Below are 18,676 nucleotides of genomic sequence, written 5' to 3'. Positions count from 1 at the left end.
TATCCATTTACAAAATGTATATTATATCTCTCTATATATATATGTATATATATATATTTGAATGTGCACAGAAAAAGTCTGGAAGAAAACACACCAACCTTTTTACAGTAGTTATCCCAATAAAATAGAACAAGTTTGGTGGGTGAGATAAGAAGGGTTTCAACTTTTATTCTGTACACTTACGTATTGTTTGAATTTTGTTTCAAGGAATATGCATTCTTTTTGTGTTTAAATTGGTACAGATGAATAATCTGTGATAGTAATAGTTGTAAAAGCTATTTTTTCCCCTGATATTTACCTTTATCTTGGGATTTAACTGCCTTTGAGAACAGCTCACTTTAAAGTATTATGGTTTTGAATATCTGTTTAATGTTTGCAGAGAGTTACTATTTGGGGTCAAAAAATCTACCTTTTACATATTGTGACTATGAAAAGTCTGTGCTTAAGACTTCATATACAGAACCATTATCTTTAGTTTCAGGAAAATTACTCACTGCAGCACACTAACATCACTGGTGGCAAGAAACCAAATCATAAGGTGTTTTTGAAGAGTGGCATAACCTTATCTACAACTGAAATCGACCTCTAGCATGCGAAGTGTCTGACACTTCCCCAAAATGAGATGACAGTAACAAATAGTCAAGAGTCCAACAATCAGAATAATTCCTTCACTTGGGAGGAAATAAGCCTGCTGTGCTGGCAGTTATCATAGTGTGCAAAAAGGGTGGACTCAGGGGAATTATCTAAATGGGCACAGTAAGTGAACCAAGTATAGAGAGTTAAGAGATGCCAGTAGGAAAGGGGATAGGACATTTTAAGCAATACATAGTGATTAAGGCTAAAATTAAACCACAGATGAAAACTGAGTCATAGTTAAGAAAATCAAAATACTTCACCCCAAAATATACTTCTTTGGTATATTTTGATTTGGTTGTTCCAGGTCCTGCAAACCTAAGTAGCCCTGCACAGCTATCCTTTGTCAGGGAGATTTGCATATGTAGAGAATCTGCATAGATACAGCCAGGCTTTCTCTGAGGCTCTCTTTTGTCCAGATCTAGGAAAGATTAACTGAGAGTCTGTCACTTTAAAAGTCTGAAAGAAACATTTGCCATCTACTCTCTCTGAGGGCTGCTACCTGTGAGGTTTCATCTACATAACAAGACCACCTTTGCTAGCCAGGCCTCTTCTTCCCCTCCCATAACCTGTCTTACCATTACAACTTGATTTCCCAACATAACCTGGTTTTGGCCATGTTCTAAGCCCCCATTCTATCTCTAACCTCAAGATGGCATATAAGTTTCTGTACCCCACCTGGGGTTTGAGATAATCACTCCACGGTTCTCTGGTGTACGTTAATAAATTTGTATGCCCTCTCTCCTATTAGTCTGCCTTTTGTGAGTTGATTTTTCAGTGAATTTTCATAGAACTAGGGGGAGGTTTTTCCTTGGCCCCTACAATAGTCAGGTCAGTGCCACTGCTAGTGCCTTTGTGCAAATTATTAAGAATCCTGTTTCTCCAGGCAATAAATCCCCATGCCAGACTCCATTTCCTCCACTCATCCTGGTGCTTCAATGCAGTTAAAAATCTATACAACTAAAAAGGCAGTAGTCCTGAGTCAGGCTCAGGAAAGCAAGGAAGAGCCAGCATATGAGAGCTGGCATATGGAATTTAAATCCCATTAAGCTCTAGTAGAGTTACCTACTTCTGATGTGACATTGTGCTAAGCCAGCCCAAAGCAAGATTGGGGTGAAGCAGGAGTGGTTCTTTACAAGGCCAACTACACCTGAGACCCTGTATTAGTCAGGATCGACACATAAAATTAACCATCCCAGACCCTACCAGACTCTGTGAGATAATAACCATAAGGAGATAGCTCTGTTACATTTGTACAGCAACAATTAAAGTGGCCCAAATGAACTGAACTAATGAACTAGTATTGAACCTAAGAATATCCAGATGTTTGACATTTTATAGAAATAAAAATGAATAGAACCTGTTTGAACAATTAAAATAAATGCAGTTTGATCAAGTTTGATCCCATTTTTTATTTTATAATATAACTGACACTGCTATATTCCTGAAATAAAATTTTCTGCAGCATTTATGTTGACGTTGTATGCCTGCTTGTCAATGATGAGAAGATGATGAATTAAAGTTTCTCCATTAATCAGACATTCTAATAACACATCCTTCAAGGCATCCAAGTGTCACATTTGTTTTCTCAAATTTGCACATAGTCCATGTCATTTTGTATCATTTTTCATCGAGCCACATTGATTAATCAATCATTTAATCAAGCACCTTCTATGTGCACAGAAGCATGCTAGATGTTGTAGGAAATCATAGGAAGTAGACAAAGAAAATCCTGTTATTGAAGCACTTGAAAACTAGCTGAGAAGACTTACACACTCATAAAGTATATAAAAAATGTGTAAGTATATAGTAAAGTCTATGATGTCAAAAGTAAACAATAAGATCCTATTTTACAATATATACAATAAATATTTTTTTTAAAAAGAGAGGAAAGAAAGGAGAATTCATCAGAAAAGGTTTCACCATACAGACAGGATTTAAATTGAGCCTTAAAGGATAGGTAGGAAGAGCTTAACTGCTCTGTGCTATAAGCCTTTTTGATAGCACAAAAATTACATTGAAAGGTGTATTTTTTTCTGCTGTAAACTGAACGTCAGTGCAGGGCTTTCACTCATAGAGAACACTAATATGTTTCCAGCCCTCAAATGCTTTTATGGGGAAAAAGGAGTAGGACAAGGTTTCAGCTACTGGCACAAAAGGTTCACTTATGCTTTGTTGAAAGAGACAATTCTAGCTACCACTTTGCTTGGTCATTGAGACTTTATATCAGCTCTGCTTCATTATGGCTAAATATTTTTAGTAATTAGAGCATTCACATTCTCCATTTCTTTGTCACCAAGCCTTCTCTGTCATTTCTGAGGTTATATAACCCATATAATGAAAGCCTTTGGAGTGTTTTGAAAATTCAATATGCATTCTCTTCTATGTATAATAAAAGCTCTTACTCACTATTTTTTCAAGAGGAAAATAAGATACAATTTGAAAAAGAATGATCAGTGTATTCCACTCTTCAATTACTTTATAAATAATTGTCAGGCCTCTGAGCCCAAGCTAAGCCATCATATCCCCTGTGACCTGCACGTGTATATCCAGATGGCCTGAAGCAACTGAAGAATCACAAAAGAAGTGAAAATAGCCAGTTCCTGCCTTAAGCGATGGCATTCCACCATTGCTGTTTGTTCCTGCTCCACCCTAACTGATTAACCTTGTGACATTCCTTCTCCTAGACAATGAGTCCTAGAACCACAACACCAAGCACCTTGTGACCCCTGCCCCTGCCCGCAAGAGAATTACCCCCTTTAACTGTAATTTTCCACTACCTACCCAAATCCTATAAAACTGCCCCACCGCATCTCCCTTTGCTGACTCCTTTTTCAGACTCAGCCTGCCTGCACCCGGGTGATTAAAAAGCTTTATTGCTCACCCAAAGCCTGTTTGGTGGTCTCTTCACATGAGGCACATGGCAATAATTAACCCTCTCAATTCTTATATCTTATGATTTTGCACGGGGAGGGGTGCTCCCTAATTACCTCAGGACATTATTGCTAGATTAGTGACCAGTTGTTTAAACAAACAGATATGCATGTGTTAGAGACATAAAACATTTATTAAAGTGACTACAAAGGACAATAATAAATTTATGACATTTTATGATGTCCCACGTCTTGAGTCATGGGTTTCCATTTTCAGTGTTCTTTAGCTCTAATTGTACATGTCATGTAAATCTATACAAAAGCTAGTATCTTTCTAGGGCTCACTATATGCCCATAGAAATGGAGAATATCATCATTGCAAGAAATATTAGAAATCTTTCCTCATTTTACAGAAGAAATAGATAAAGAAGAGACAACTAGTTATTGACAGAGTCAGAAATAAAATTCCTGTCTCTTGACAAAATTAATCTACAGGATTTTTTGTTTTGTTTTTAATAAGGAAGGTTAAATTGAGAAGAGTAAAATTTTGGCAACCTAAAAAGCACTGTCATTCTTCTCTCAAGCATTATCAGTGACTATAAGCTTTTCAAAACTCCAAAAACCTTGATGCCAGCTTAAGGCTGATTTTTCTTTACCACTGCCAAAACACTATGGAACAGTTTCTGGGATAGGTCTACATCCAAGCTCAGTGGTAGAGTTCACAGGAGACAACTACATGCTCACCAGCTTCTGTAGATTATTCTAACATATGCTGTGCTTCTTCTCTTTCTAGCCCCCAACTCAGACCTGCATTTACATCCTACTAACATTCAAACATTTTCCATTCTTTACCCATGGGGTCAATGATTAATTGTTGGGATATACCGTACAAATAGCAAGGAAAAAAAAATCCCATAAAAGAAACTTTTAGTAACTGAAAGAACACAGTGGGTTATTGGCCCAGAAAAGCATTAAAGTGCTAACCATAAAGCTAGATTGAAAAACATCCAGGAATGGAAGACTAAAACTCTTGCTTTATCTTAAGATCCAGTATCCAGCACAATGCTTTATTCATAACAGGTATTCAATAAATATTTATAAACAAATAAAGAGACATTAGATTGGAACATGCACTGGATTTTGGAGTCAGCATGATTCAAATGGGAAAGTATGGGGATGGGTGGGAGGAATGAAGAAAAATGGTAAGAAAAAACACATAAATAAGCAGAACAGCTATCAGATTAAATAAAAAGAATTGAGGATTTCTCTTAGATGGCATTTTGTTTTCTTTTTCTTTTTTACTTTTTAAATTTTTATTATTTTTATTATACTTTAAGTTCTGGGGTACATGTGCAGAACGTGCAGGTTTGTTACATAGGTATACATGTGCAATAGTGGTTTACTGCACCCATCAACCCATGATCTACATTAGGTATTTCTCCTAATGCTACCCCTCCCCTAGCTCCCCACTCCCCAACAGGCCCCAGTGTGTGATGTTCCCCTCCCTGTGTCCATGTGTTCTCATTGTTCAATTCCCACTTATGAGTGAGAACATGCAGCGTTTGGTTTTCTGTTCTTCTGTTAGTTTGCTGAGAATGATGGTTTCCAGCTTCATCCATGTCCCTGCAAAGGACATGAACTCATCCTTTTTTATGGCTGCATAGTATTCCATGGTGTATATATGTGCCACATTTCTTTACATTACATTTTCAATACATTACTGTTGACTACAAGTACAGTGTTATACAACAGCACTCTAGAGCACTCTAGATTCATCTAGCTTGACTCAAACTTTACATTCATTGATTAGTAATTCCTCATTTTCCCCTCTGTTCAGCCTCTGGTAACCACAATTCTACTCTTTGATTATATGAATTTGACTATTTTAGATATCTGATATCAGTGAACTCATGCAGAATTTATCTTTCTGTGGCTGGCCTATTTCACATAGCTTAATATCTGCAAGGTTTATCCATGTTGTCACATATATGGCCAAATTTCCTTCTTTTCAAAGGCTGAATAGTGTTCAATTGTATTGTATAACACATTTTCTTCACCCATTTACCTGTTGGTGGACGTTTAGGTTCTTAAAATAGCTTGGCTAACAATTACTAGTGATTAATTGAATTAGCCCATGGTACACAATCCTATGTTACAGCAATGTAACTTTCAAAGTAAACCATGATCTTTAAGAATTACATTTTAAAATAATCATAACTGTAAATGTATGTTACATCAGCTGATATTGCGATTTTAGCACATGCAAGAAATTAATTTTGTTTGCCCTTTCCACTCATTTCTGAGAGTTAGTAAGCACTCAAGCCTATCAATAATGCTTCATTATCTACATCCTTCTCTTTCTGTCCTAGGGGGATACTTTTACAAGACAGAATGGGAAGAAATTCATGGGAAATGCAGAAAATTTTCCATCATTCATTTACATGTGGAATAATTACCTGATTCCTAAATACAACTTTCCTAAGGGTCTGAAATAGAAGCACAGGACACTTTGGGGCCTATTATTTCCCAACATAATATCTTTACATCAGAGAGGAAAAAAATTATGTCAAAGGTATATGAAAGCTTTCTGGATTTTAAAATAAGAGGCACATTACTATTTGTTCTGTGACTACAAAAATTTACATTACGGTAGAAAATACAAATAAATCATAAGATAACTATCTCATGGAAAGACCTACCCATACCATATCTACATTACTTTTTCTCCTCTAGCCATTTTCTCACAGTGTCAAGAATACTGTTGGCTGAATGAGACTGTGCATTTCTCCACAGTAAGGATTTAGGAGCATTCTTAGAGGGCAGCTAAAGTCCATAATGCAAGCTACCACAAGCCAAGAAATCTGACCTTTCCCTTTCGCTGACAAAGTTTCTTTATCTTACCTCGCAATACATAGAATAGGATTGGAAACCTTCCAAAAGGTGGGTAGTGAGTATTTGCTGAACAATCATCTGATCTTCCCGATTGGCTATTGTAGTAGAATATGAATATGGAGACTTATTTAGCTAGGATTGTTAGGAACAAACTCTCCAAGGAGATTTTTGAAACAGGGCCTTGCTCTGTCGCCCAGGCTGGAGTACAGTGGTGCATTTTGGCTCACTGCAGCCTTGACCTCCCAGGCTGAAACAATCCTCTCACCTCAGCCTCCCCAGTAGTAGGGACTAAAGGTGTGTGCCACCATGCCTGGCTAATTTTGTTCATTTTTTGGAGAGACGAGGTCTCACTATGTTACCTGGGTTGGCCTCTATACACCAGGCTCAAGCAATTCTCCCTTCTCAGACTCCAAAAATGCTGAGATATCAGGCATGAAGCACTGTGCACAGCCTCCAAGGAGGTGATGTATAAGCTGAACTGCCAATGATAAGGAGGAGGTAACCAGAGAGGGAAGAGTACTCTAAGAAGAAGAAACAATAAATTCAAATACTCTGAGACAGGAAAGAGCTGGTTGTGTTCAAGAATAAAAAGGTCAGCAGAGTGGCTGAAAGGTAGTGAACTGGGGGAAGAGTAGAGAGGGATGAGTCAGAGAAATAGACAAATTATGTAAATCTTGTAAGATGTATATGAGGAATTTGTAATTTATTATAAGTGGATATGAGGAGTCATTGGAGATTTGTTTTTAATCAAAAATTCCAAACATACTTATAAAAGAGAGAATGACATAATAATCCTCATAGAGCTATTAACCAAATTTAATAATTATCAATATTTTGTCATATTTACTTCATCTGTCTTCTTTGCTTTACTTAAGCATTTAAATTAAATCCCAGACTTCATGGTATTTCACTTCTATATACATAATTTAGCATCCATCTCTGAAAAGTATGAATATTTTCTGACATAACCACAATGCCATTGTCACACCTAACTTAGAAAACAATGTCTTTATCGTCATCTAATAACTAAACAATAATTACATTTATTCAGTTAGGTCACAAATCACTTTTCACTGTTGCTTTATTTAAAGCAGGATCCAAACAAGTTCCACTCTTTACATTTGTTTTTATTCATTTTCCACCCTAAAGCAATAACCCCCTCCTTTTGTTCCTGTTACTGACTTATAAAAGAATACGAGTCTCTTTTCTTGGTGAATGCTCCAATATAACGGAGTCAATGAATTGTGATGCTGTTAACTTGTCCCACTAACTCCCACATTTCTTTAAATGAAAACTACTTCTTAATTGGTTTCAGGTTCCACTTTTAGACAAAATTACTTTATAGACTGTACTGTGTAATCCACCTTGAGGGAACACTTAGTTTCTGGGTGTCATTTTTAGTGATTGATCAGTGGGTTCATGTGGTAGCAGCCTGATCCCTCCATTGTAAAGTTCCCCGTAAGTCCTTCATTCAATGCTTCTGTTGTGGCTCAGAAAATAATCCCACAAAATGAAGGCCTCAGAAGCAGCCTCAGAAGCAAAAGTTTTTCTTTGACCTTCTCTTGCTCTCGTGTCTCTCAGTCCCATCCTCCCCTGAGGCTAGCCATAGAAACTAGAATCCTTTTTCTCGAAGGTGGGTCAGAGAAACCAGAAGCTCTTTTCTCCACCCAGCCATAAAACTTAAAAATACTGCTTTAATTTTCCCTCCAACTTTCTGTGTAAAAACTGGTCATAAAGAAATGATCCTACCTATCTTCTTTGGCTGTAGGTCATAAGACCCCTATTCCAGAGAGGGTTCTGCTTCACACCCAGAAGGAAGGAATGCTTGCTCAGAGAGGTCAAGAAGAACCTAGACAGAGAGGCCTTGCTGAGTTTCCCCACTCAGTCTATAAGCATTTGATCATATCCTTTTTGTCCAACCATATTTCTACATGGGTGTCCATACTTTGTTGACCTAAGCATTAAAATGGACAATTTCCTCTGTATCTCTGGGTCTTCATTCTGAAGACTCCTTTGTATGCCTTTTCTCCTACTAACCTGCCTTTCATGAGTTGATTTTCTAGTGAACCTTCAGAGGGCCAAGTCTTGGCCCCTACACTTCCATCCATCAAAGATAATTACCTAAATCAATGATCTCATTACATGTTACACAATAGTTATTTTATAATCTATCATTTCTTTCCCATTTTTGGCTGGAATTCTTCTGAAAAGGAGAAGTTTCACTCATAAACTACAGTTATTTTAGAACCCTAAAATACACTCATTAGGAGGTGTTAAGCAGTAGAGTGATAAGATCTGATTTACGCTTTAGAAAGATGGACTGTGGGCTCAAGGACGGCAGGTATAAAGGCAGGAAAACTAATTAGAGGGCTGCAGCAAAGTCCAGGTAAGAGATAATGGTGTTTTGGAGTAATATTTTAACATTAGAAATGGTGAGAAGTGGTCATAATTAGGATATGATTTGCAGATAAATCCAAGAGGACTTGAAAGATTGGATGTGAGCTGTGAAGGAAAGACAGAAATCAAGAATGTTTCCTAGGTTTTGGTTTAAGCAAGTAGGTGTCAACACCAAGATCAAGAAGCACAACATGATCAGCAGTACAGAAGCACTCCTTGTACCCCCTCCTGGACAGTCCTCTCATTCCCAGAGTAACTACCACCTTGATATCTAATGGCAAATGTTAGTTCTATCTGGTTTTGCTCTTTTATTAATGAAACTGTAATGTATTTTGTGTCAACATTATATTTGTGAGATGCATAAATAATGTCATTCATTTTTATGACTGTGTCGTATTGGTGAATTTTTCTCCATTTATTTATTTATTCTACTGTTCATGTAATTTTCAGTCTTGGCTACTTTAGTCTTCTATGGACATTTTTGCACATGTTTTCTCTTGAACATATGTATGCATTTCCATTGGTATCTACCTAGGAGTGGAACTGCTGTTATGAGTATGGATTTATTCAGTTGTATTAGTATAGTAGTCCCCTCTTTTTTGTGATTTTGCTTTCTTTAGTTCCACTTACCCATGGTCAACCTTGTCCAGAAACATTAAATGGAAAATTATTTAAATAAACAATTAATAGGTTTTAAATTGTACGCTGTTTTGAGTAGCTTGATGAAATCTCACGTCATCCTGCTCTGTCATGCCTGGGATGTGAATCATCCCTTTGTCCAGCATATACAAGCTATAGTTGCTATCTGCCTGTTAGCCATTGACATCTGCTCCTGACATCCAACCATCAACACCATGATCGTTCGATAACTCAGTATCACCCAAAGCAGTCAAACCTTCTTGTAATGTATTGTTAGAAATTCAATAGTAGCCTAATGCTATGTCAAAATACCTACATCATTCACTCCACTTCATCTGATAATAATGTAGGCATTTTATCATCTCACATCATCACAAGAAATAAAAGGATGAGTATAGTACAATAAGATATTTTGAGAGAGACGACATTCACATAACTTTTATTACAGTATATTGCTATAACTGTTCTATTTTATTATTAGTTATTGCTTTTAATCTCTTACTATGCTTAATTTATAAATTAAACTTTGTCATAGGCATGTACATATAGGAAAAAACATAGTATATATAGTATACATAGGATACAGTTCTATCCATGTTACCTGGCATCCACTGGGGGTCATAGAACATAGAACATATTCCACCACTGTACTATTAAACAGTTTTTCGAAGTGATTATATCAATTGCTATGGTTTGAATGTGTCCCCACAGAAAGCCTGTGTCCCCACAGAAACAATCCCCAATGCAACAGTGCTGGGAGGCTGGGCCTAATGGCAGATGATTAGGCCATGAGAGCTCTGCCCTCATGAATGGACTAATTTTGTTACCATGAGAGCAGGTTCCTTACAAAAGAATTAGTTCAATCTTCTCTTGCTCTGTCTCTCTCTCCCTCTCTCATCCCCTTTGCCTCTTTGCCCTTCTGCCATGAAATGACACAGCAAGAAAGCCTTCACCAGGCACCAGTCCTTAATATTGGACTTCTCAGCCTCCGCAACTGGGAGCAAATATATTTGTTATTTTTCAACTAAAAAAAATGATTTACTTAGCTCTAAGAATTCAATAACTGGGTTGTAAATAAGCAGCATAGAAAGAATAGCCAGTAATTGAAGGAGTCCTAACAATAGCACCTGTAAAACTCAAGACACCCATACCCCTTTCAGGTTTAGGTGCCTGTCTTTGGTTGAAATTTTTTTAACCACATCCAAATAGATAAGGCTGAGCAAACACATTTCTGTTCTTTATAAATAACCCAGTCTGTGGTATTCTATTATAGGAGGACAAAATAAACTAAGATGGGAATTGACACCTTTGCTAGCGTAGTTAGAAAACATTAGTGCTCTATATTCTTACCAGACCTTTTTTTTTTTTTTTCCTGTTGTTGTTGTTGTCGTTCTTGTTGACTTTAGGTCATTCTACTGGTTATTTGGTATTGTATTGTGATTTTGATTTGCATTCTCTAGTGACTAATGAAGTTGAGTAACTTTTCTTATTTTTATTGGTCATCGGATATCCTCTATTGTAAAATATCTGTTTAAATCTTTTGCCCATTTTTCTATTTTTAGCACTCTATTAATTTGTGAGAGTTATTTATATATTCTTATTAATAGTCATTTGTTAGTTACGTTGTCTCACAAATATCTCCCATTTAGTGAGTTAATTCTTAATTCTCTGAATGGATTTTTTGATAAAAGTTATAAATTTTAATGTAGTACAATTTGTCATTTTTTTCTGGTTAGCTTCTTTAAGAAATCTTTGCCTACTTCAAGATAAAAAAGATATTTTATCATGGTTTCCTCTAAAATCTTTCACTGATTTATATTTCACCTATAATACATCTGGAATTGATTTTTGTGTATGGTGTAAGGTAAGAGTCAAGATTCAGTTTTTCCCACTTGGATATCTGATTGAGCTAACACCATTTATTCAAAAGAGCATCTTACCCCTAATGCACTACAGTTTCATTTTGTCATGAATCAGGTGACTTTATATAAGGAAAGTATTGTTGTTGTTTTTCACTGAATTCTGTTCCATTTGATAGTTTATCCATTCTTATACTTAGTTTAATCAGTACAGTTTTTAACTACAGTTTTATAATAGGTCCTTGTCAGGCCTCTGAGCCCAAGCCAAGTCATCGCATCCCCTGTGACTTGCACATATACGCCCAGATGGCCTGAAGTAACTGAAGAATCACAAAAGAAGTGAAAATGCCCTGCCCCGCCTTAACTGATGACATTCCACCACAAAAGAAATGAAAATGGCCGGTCCTTGCCTTAAGTGATGACATTACCTTGTGAAAGTCCTTTTCCTGGCTCATCCTGGCTCAAAAAGCTCCCCCACTCAGTACCTTGTGACTCCCACTTCTGCCTGCCAGAGAACAACGCCCCTTTTTCCTTTACCTACCCAAATCCTATAAAACGGCCCCACCCCTATCTCCCTTCACTGACCCTCTTTTCGGACTCAGCCCACCTGCACCCAGGTGAAATAAACAGCCTTGTTGCTCACACAAAGCCTGTTTGGTGGTGTCTTCACACGGACGCACATGAAATTTGGTGTCGTGATTCGGATCGGAGGACCTCCCTTGGGAGATCAATCCCCTGTCCTCCGGCTCTTTGCTCCGTGAAAAAGATCCATCTATGACCTCGGGTCCTCAGACCCACCAGCCCAAGGAACATCTCACCGATTTTAAATCGGGTAAGCGGCCTCTTCTTACTCTCTTCTCCAACCTCTCTCACTCTCCCTCAACCACTTTCTCCTTTCAATCTTGGTGCCACCCTTCAATCTCTCCCTTCTCTTAATTTCAATTCCTTTCCTTTTCTGGTAGAGACAGGAGACACGTTTTATCCGTGGACCCAAAACTCTGGCGCCGGTCACGGACTTGGGAAGACAGTCTTCCCTTGGTGTTTAATCACACGGGGACAACTGCCTGATTATTACCCACGTTTCAGAGGTGTCTGACCACGCGGGGACGCCTGCCTTGGTCCTTCACCCTTAGCAGCAAGTACCGCTTTTCTGGGGGGCAAGAACCCCCCAACCCCTTCTCTCCATGTCTCTACCCCTTCTCCACTGTTCTGGGGGACAAGAACCCCCCAACCCCTTCTCTCTGTGTCTCTACCCCTTCTCTGCTTTTCTGGGGGCAAGAACCCCCCGATCCTTTATTTCCACACCCCGCTCTGTGCCCCGATCCCTTATTTCTGCACCCCGACTTCTTATCTCTGTGCCCCAACCCCTTATTTCCATGCCCCGACCCCTTTCCTGCTTTTCTGGAAGGTAAGAACCCCTGAACCCCTTCCCTCCATGTCTTTACTCTCCCTTTTCTTTAAACTTGCCTCCTTCACTATAGGCAACCTTCCACCCTCCATTCCTCCTTCTTCTCCCTTAGCCTGTGTTCTTAAGAACTTAAAACCTCTCAACTCTCACCTGACCTAAAACCTAAATGCCTTATTTTCTTCTGCAGTGCTGCTTGACCAAAATACAAACTCAACAGTGGTTCCAAATAGCAAGAAAATGGCACTTTCAATTTTTCCATCCTACAAGATCTAAATAATTCTTGTCGTAAAATAGGCAAATGGTCTGAGGTGCCTGACGTCCAGGCATTCTTTTACACATCAGTCCCTCCCTAGTCTCTGTTCCCAAGGCAACTCGTCCCAAATCCTCCTTCTTTCCCTCCTGCCTGTCCCCTCAGTCACAACTCCAAATGTCGCTGAGTCTTTCTAATCTTCCTTTTCTACAGACCCATCTGACCTCCTCGCCAGGCCGAGCCAGGTCCCAGTTCTTCTTCAGCCTCTGCTCCCCACCCTATAATCCTTTTATCACCTCCATTCCTCACACCGGGTCCAGCTTACAGTTTTGTTCCTCGACTAGTCTTCCCCCACCTGCCCAGCAATTTCCTCTTAAAAAGGTGGCTGGAGCTAAAGGCACAGTCAAGGTTAACGCTCCTTTTTCTTTATCCGACCTCTCCCAAAATCAGTTAGCATTTAGGCTTTTTTTCATCAAATATGAAAAACCCAGCCCAGTTCATGGCTCATTTGGCAGCAACCCTGAGACGCTTTACAGCCCTAGACCCTGAAAGGTCAGAAGGCCGTCTTATTCTCAATATGCATTTTATTTTTTTTACCCAATCTGCTCCCAACATGAAATAAAGCTCCAAAAATTAAATTCCGGCCCTCAAACCCCACAACAGGACTTAATTAACCCCGCCTTCAAGGTGTGCAATAATAAAGTAGAGGCAGCCAAGTAGCAATGTATTTCTGAGTTGCAATTCCTTGCCTCCACTGTGAGACAAACCCCAGCCACATCTCCAGCACACAAGAACTCCAAACGCCTGAACCTCCTCCCCCAGGAGCTTGCCACAAGTGCCGGAAATCTGACCACTGGGCCAAGGAATGCCCACAGCCCGGGATTCCTCCTAAGCCATGTCCCATCTGTGCGGGACCCCACTGAAAATTGGACTGTTCAACTCACCTGGCAGCCACTTCCAGAGCCCCTGGAACTCTGGCCCAAGGCTCTCCGACTGACTCCTTCCCAGATCTTCTCGGCTTAGCAGCTGAAGACTGACGCTGCCCGATCGCCTCGGAAGCCTACAGGACCATCACAAATACTCTGAGTAACTCTCACAGTGGAGGGTAAGTCCATCTCCTTCTTAGTCAATATGGAGGCTACCCACTCCACATTACCTTCTTTTCAAGGGCCTGTTTCCCTTGCCTCCATAACTGTTGTGGGTATTGACGGCCAGGCTTCTAAACCTCTTAAAACTCCCAAACTCTGGTGCCAACTTAGACAATACTCTTTGAAGCACTCCTTTTTAGTTATCCCCACCTGCCCAGTTCCCTTGTTAGGCTGAGACACTTTAACTAAATTATCTGCTTCCCTGACTATTCCCGGACTACAGCTGCATCTCATTGCCACCCTTCTCCCCAACCCAAAGCCTCCTTTGCATCTTCTTCTCATATCCCCCCACCTTAACCCACAAGTATGGGACATCTCTACTCCTTCCCTGGCAACTGATCACATGCCCATTACCATCCCATTAAAGCCTAATCACTCTTACCCTGCTCAATGTTAATATCCCATCCCACAGCACGCTTTAAAAGGATTAAAGCCTGTTATCACTCACTTGCTACAGCATGGCCTTTTAAAGCCTATATACTCTCCTTACCATTCCCCTATTTCACCTGTCCTAAAACCAGACAAGTCTTATAGGTTAGTTCAGGATCTGTGCCTTATCAACCAAATTGTTTTGCCTATCCACCCCCGTGGTGCCAAACCCATATACTCTCCTATCCTCAATACCTCCTTCTACAACCCATTATTCTTTTCTGGATCTCAAACATGCTTTCTTTACTATTCCTTTGCACCCTTCATCCCAGCCTCTCTTTGCTTTCACTTGGACTGACCCTGACACCCATTAGGCTCAGCAAATTACCTGGGCTATACTGCCGCAAGGCTTCACAGACAGCCCCCATTACTTCAGTCAAGCCCAAATTTCATCCTCATCTGTTACCTATCTCGGCATAATTCTCACAAAAACACACGTGCTTTCCCTGCTGATTGTGTCTGACTAATCTCCCAAACCTCAATCCCTTACAAAACAACAACTCCTTTCCTTCCTAGGCATGGTTAGTGTGGTCAGAATTCTTACACAAGAGCCGGGACCACACCCTGTAGCCTTTCTGTCCAAACAACTTGACCTTACTGTTTTAGCCTAGCCCTCATGTCTGCGTGCAGCAGCTGCCACTGCTCTAATACTTTTAGAGGCCCTCAAAATCACAAACTATGCTCAACTCACTTTCTACAGTTCTCATAATTTCCAAAATCTATTTTCTTCCTCACACCTGACACTTATACTTTCTGCTCCCCCGGCTCCTTCAGTTGTACCCACTCTTTGTTGAGTCCCACAATTACCATTGTTCTCGGCCCGGACTTCAATCCGGTCTCCCACATTATTCCAGATACCACACCTGACCCTCATGACTGCATCTCTCTGATCCACCTGACGTTCACCCCATTTCCCCACATTTCCTTCTTCCCTGTTTCTCACCCTCATCACATTTGGTTTATTGATGGCAGTTCCACCAGGCCTAATCACCACTCACCAGCAAAGGCAGACTATGCTATAGTACTAGCCACTAGCCCGCCTCTTAGAACCTCTCATTTCCTTTCCATCGTGGAAATCTATCCTCAAGGAAATAACTTCTCAGTGTTCCATCTGCTATTCTACTACTCTTCATGGATTATTCAGGCCCCCTCCCTTCCCTACACATCAAGCTCGGGGATTTGCCCCCGCCTAGGACTGGCAAATTGGCTTTACTCAATATGCCCCAAGTCAGAAAACTAAAATACCTCTTAGTCTGGGTGGACACTTTCACTGGATGGGTAGAGGCCTTTCCTACAGGATCTGAGAAGGCCACTGCGGTCATTTCTTCCCTTCTGTCAGATATAATTCCTCAGTTTGGCCTTCCCACCTCTATACAGTCTGATAACGGACCAGCCTTTATTAGTCAAATCAGCCAAGCAGTTTTTCAGGCTCTTGGTATTCAGTTAAACCTTTATATCCCTTACGGTCCTCAGTCTTCAGGAAAGGTAGAACGGACTAATGGTCTTTAAAAAACACACCTCACCAAGCTCAGCCACCAACTTAAAAAGGACTGGACAATACTTTTACCACTTTCCCTTCTCAGAATTCAGGCCTGTCCTTGGAATGCCACAGGGTACAGCCCGTTTGAGCTCCTGTTTGGACGCTCCTTTTTATTAGGCCCCAGTCTCATTCCAGACACCAAACCAAGTTGGACTGTGCCCCAAAAAACTTGTCATCCCTACTATCTTCTGTCTAGTCATACTCCTATTCACCGTTCTCAACGACTCATACATGCCCTGCTCTTGTTTACACTGCCGGTTTACACTGTTTCTCCAAGCCATCACAGCTGATATCTCCTGGTGCTATCCCCAAACCGCCACTCTTAACTCTTAAAGTAAATAAATAATCTTTGCTGGCAGGACTATGCTGAATCTCCTTAGGCACTCTCTAATTAGATGTCCTGGGTCCTCCCAATTCTTAGACCTTTAATACCTGTTTTTCTCCTTCTCTTATTCCATTTAGTTTTTCAATTCATACAAAACCATATCCAGGCCATCACCAATAATTCTAAATGACAAATGTTTCTTCTAACAACCCCACAATATCACCCCTTACCACAAGACCTCCCTTCAGCTTAATCCCTCCCACTCTAGGTTCCCACGCCGCCCCTAATCCCGCTTGAAGCAGCCCTGAGAAACATCACCCATTCTCTCTCCATACCACCTCACAAAAATTTTCGCCGCCCCAACACTTCAACACTGTTTTGTTTTATTTTTCTTATTAATATAAGAAGGCAGGAATGTCAGGCCTCTGAGCCCAAGCCAAGCCATCGCATCCCCTGTGACTTGCACATATACGCCCAGATGGCCTGAAGTAACTGAAGAATCACAAAAGAAGTGAAAATGCCCTGCCCCGCCTTAACTGATGACATTCCACCACAAAAGAAGTGAAAATGGCCGGTTCTTGCCTTAAGTGATGACATTACCTTGTGAAAGTCCTTTTCCTGGCTCAAAAAGCTCCCCCACTCAGTACCTTGTGACCCCCACCCCTGCCTGCCAGAGAACAACGCCCCTTTTTCCTTTACCTACCCAAATCCTATAAAACGGCCCCACCCTTATCTCCCTTCACTGACCCTCTTTTCGGACTCAGCCCACCTGCATGCACCCAGGTGAAATAAACAGCCTTGTTGCTCACACAAAGCCTGTTTGGTGGTCTCTTCACATGGACGCGCATGAAAGTCCTAATATCTGATACTGTATTTCTACAGCTTTGTTGTTTTTCTTTATAATTATCTTGACTATTCTTTAAAGATGTGAATTTGAGAGTCGTTGGCCTTTAAATGGAATTGGAAGTTCTGTGACTGCTTGCAATGCCCAAGGAGACAATGATGACAGAGAAGAAGGCCTAAAATAGAGCTTAAATATTTAACAGTTATAAGTCATATAGGAGAGTATGATCAAGCAAATCAGACTCCAAAAGTACTATCAGTGTGGTAGGAAGAAACCAGGTAAGTGTAGTGTCATGGAATCCAAGAGAAGAAAATGCTTCAAAAAGGAAGAAATGGTCAGTCATGGCAAATGCATTTGAAAGGTTAAGATAATAACAGAAAATTGGCCATTGGCTTTGGCAATATATAGATAATTGATGGCCCTGATAAGAGCTGTTTCAGTAGAGTCTTGGAGATAAAAAGAATCCTACTACAATGACTTGAAGAGAGAATTGGAAGTGAAATTTATACTGCTGACATTAAAATTATATAAACTTAAAGTAGTTAAAGGATAGTTCTAATGCAAAAAGATAACCAATACAAAAGAGATCAGAAAGCTCAGAAACAAACCATGTATATGTTTTATCTTACATTGAGCAAATAATAATGGTAACATTTCGTATCTGGAGTGGAGCAAGAGCCCTAACGATTAGGACTCCAATATCTGGAGCTAGGATATTTAGAAAAAGAACATCCTATGTCATACGCTTATTGAGTTAAACCTGTTGTTCTCAATGTGTGGCCTGAGAACAACTGGAGGTTATTGAGACTCTTGCAGAAAGTCTGCAAAATAAAGACAATTGCCATAAAAATATTAAGGCATTATTTGTCATTTTAATTTTTATTCTGTCACATGTGTACCATGGAGTTTTCCAGAGGCTACCTGATGTGTCTTCTATTAAGCCAGACATTGTAGAGATTTGCAAAAGTGTAAAATAATGACCTCTTCTCACTAAATTTATCTTTGTTTTGGAAAAGATAGATACTTTTAATAAAATGTGTATTTTAATATGTAATATATGTAAAAATATGATTTAATATTATTTTTAAATAAATGGATAGTTTTTCAAATTTCTCAACTTCAATCTCAAATATGACATAACCTATGTAAACAAAAGTTCTTGGGGAGTCCTCAATAATGTTAAGAGTATAAAGGGGTTCTGACATCAAAAGGGCTGACAATCACTGAGTTAACAAATTAAACACTTTTTAAATTGAAAATATAAAAGTACTAGATGAAAACATATAACGATGAGCTGGGAAAGAGCTTTTAAAATAATGATACAAAAACAATAATAAACATTTGTTGATCATTAATAATGTGCCACATGTTTTATATAGTTTCTCATCAAATCTCACAACCTTATGACATAGGCATAATTATTATTTCCATTAATAGAT

At 39.5% G+C, this 18,676-nt stretch overlaps 1 long non-coding RNA gene across 1 annotated transcript in view, besides 2 other annotated features; it reads right to left on the bottom strand.

Moving 5' to 3' along the window:
* Positions 1-18,676, bottom strand: part of LOC101928437 (uncharacterized) — a 477,888-nt gene that overhangs the window by 394,654 nt on the left and 64,558 nt on the right. Inside the window, exon 3 of the long non-coding RNA NR_110399.2 lies at positions 13,896-14,011. This is a non-coding gene — a long non-coding RNA (uncharacterized LOC101928437). The remainder of the gene's footprint in view (positions 1-13,895; positions 14,012-18,676) is intronic.
* Positions 16,270-16,770: an enhancer, noted in NCBI's record as "NANOG-H3K27ac hESC enhancer chrX:112352419-112352919 (GRCh37/hg19 assembly coordinates)". NCBI's record gives its function as "activates a minimal SCP1, AML or CMV promoter by ChIP-STARR-seq in primed H9 embryonic stem cells {active_cell/tissue: H9 hESC(primed)}" and the evidence as "EXISTENCE:reporter gene assay evidence [ECO:0000049][PMID:30033119]".
* Positions 16,771-17,271: an enhancer, noted in NCBI's record as "NANOG-H3K27ac hESC enhancer chrX:112351918-112352418 (GRCh37/hg19 assembly coordinates)". NCBI's record gives its function as "activates a minimal SCP1, AML or CMV promoter by ChIP-STARR-seq in naive H9 embryonic stem cells {active_cell/tissue: H9 hESC(naive)}" and the evidence as "EXISTENCE:reporter gene assay evidence [ECO:0000049][PMID:30033119]".

This window comes from Homo sapiens, chromosome X (genome assembly GCF_000001405.40).
Source record: "Homo sapiens chromosome X, GRCh38.p14 Primary Assembly".
NCBI lineage: Eukaryota > Metazoa > Chordata > Mammalia > Primates > Hominidae > Homo > Homo sapiens.
The sequence above is the reverse complement of the archived record's forward strand: the minus strand, read 5'-3'. Positions and strand labels throughout refer to the sequence as shown.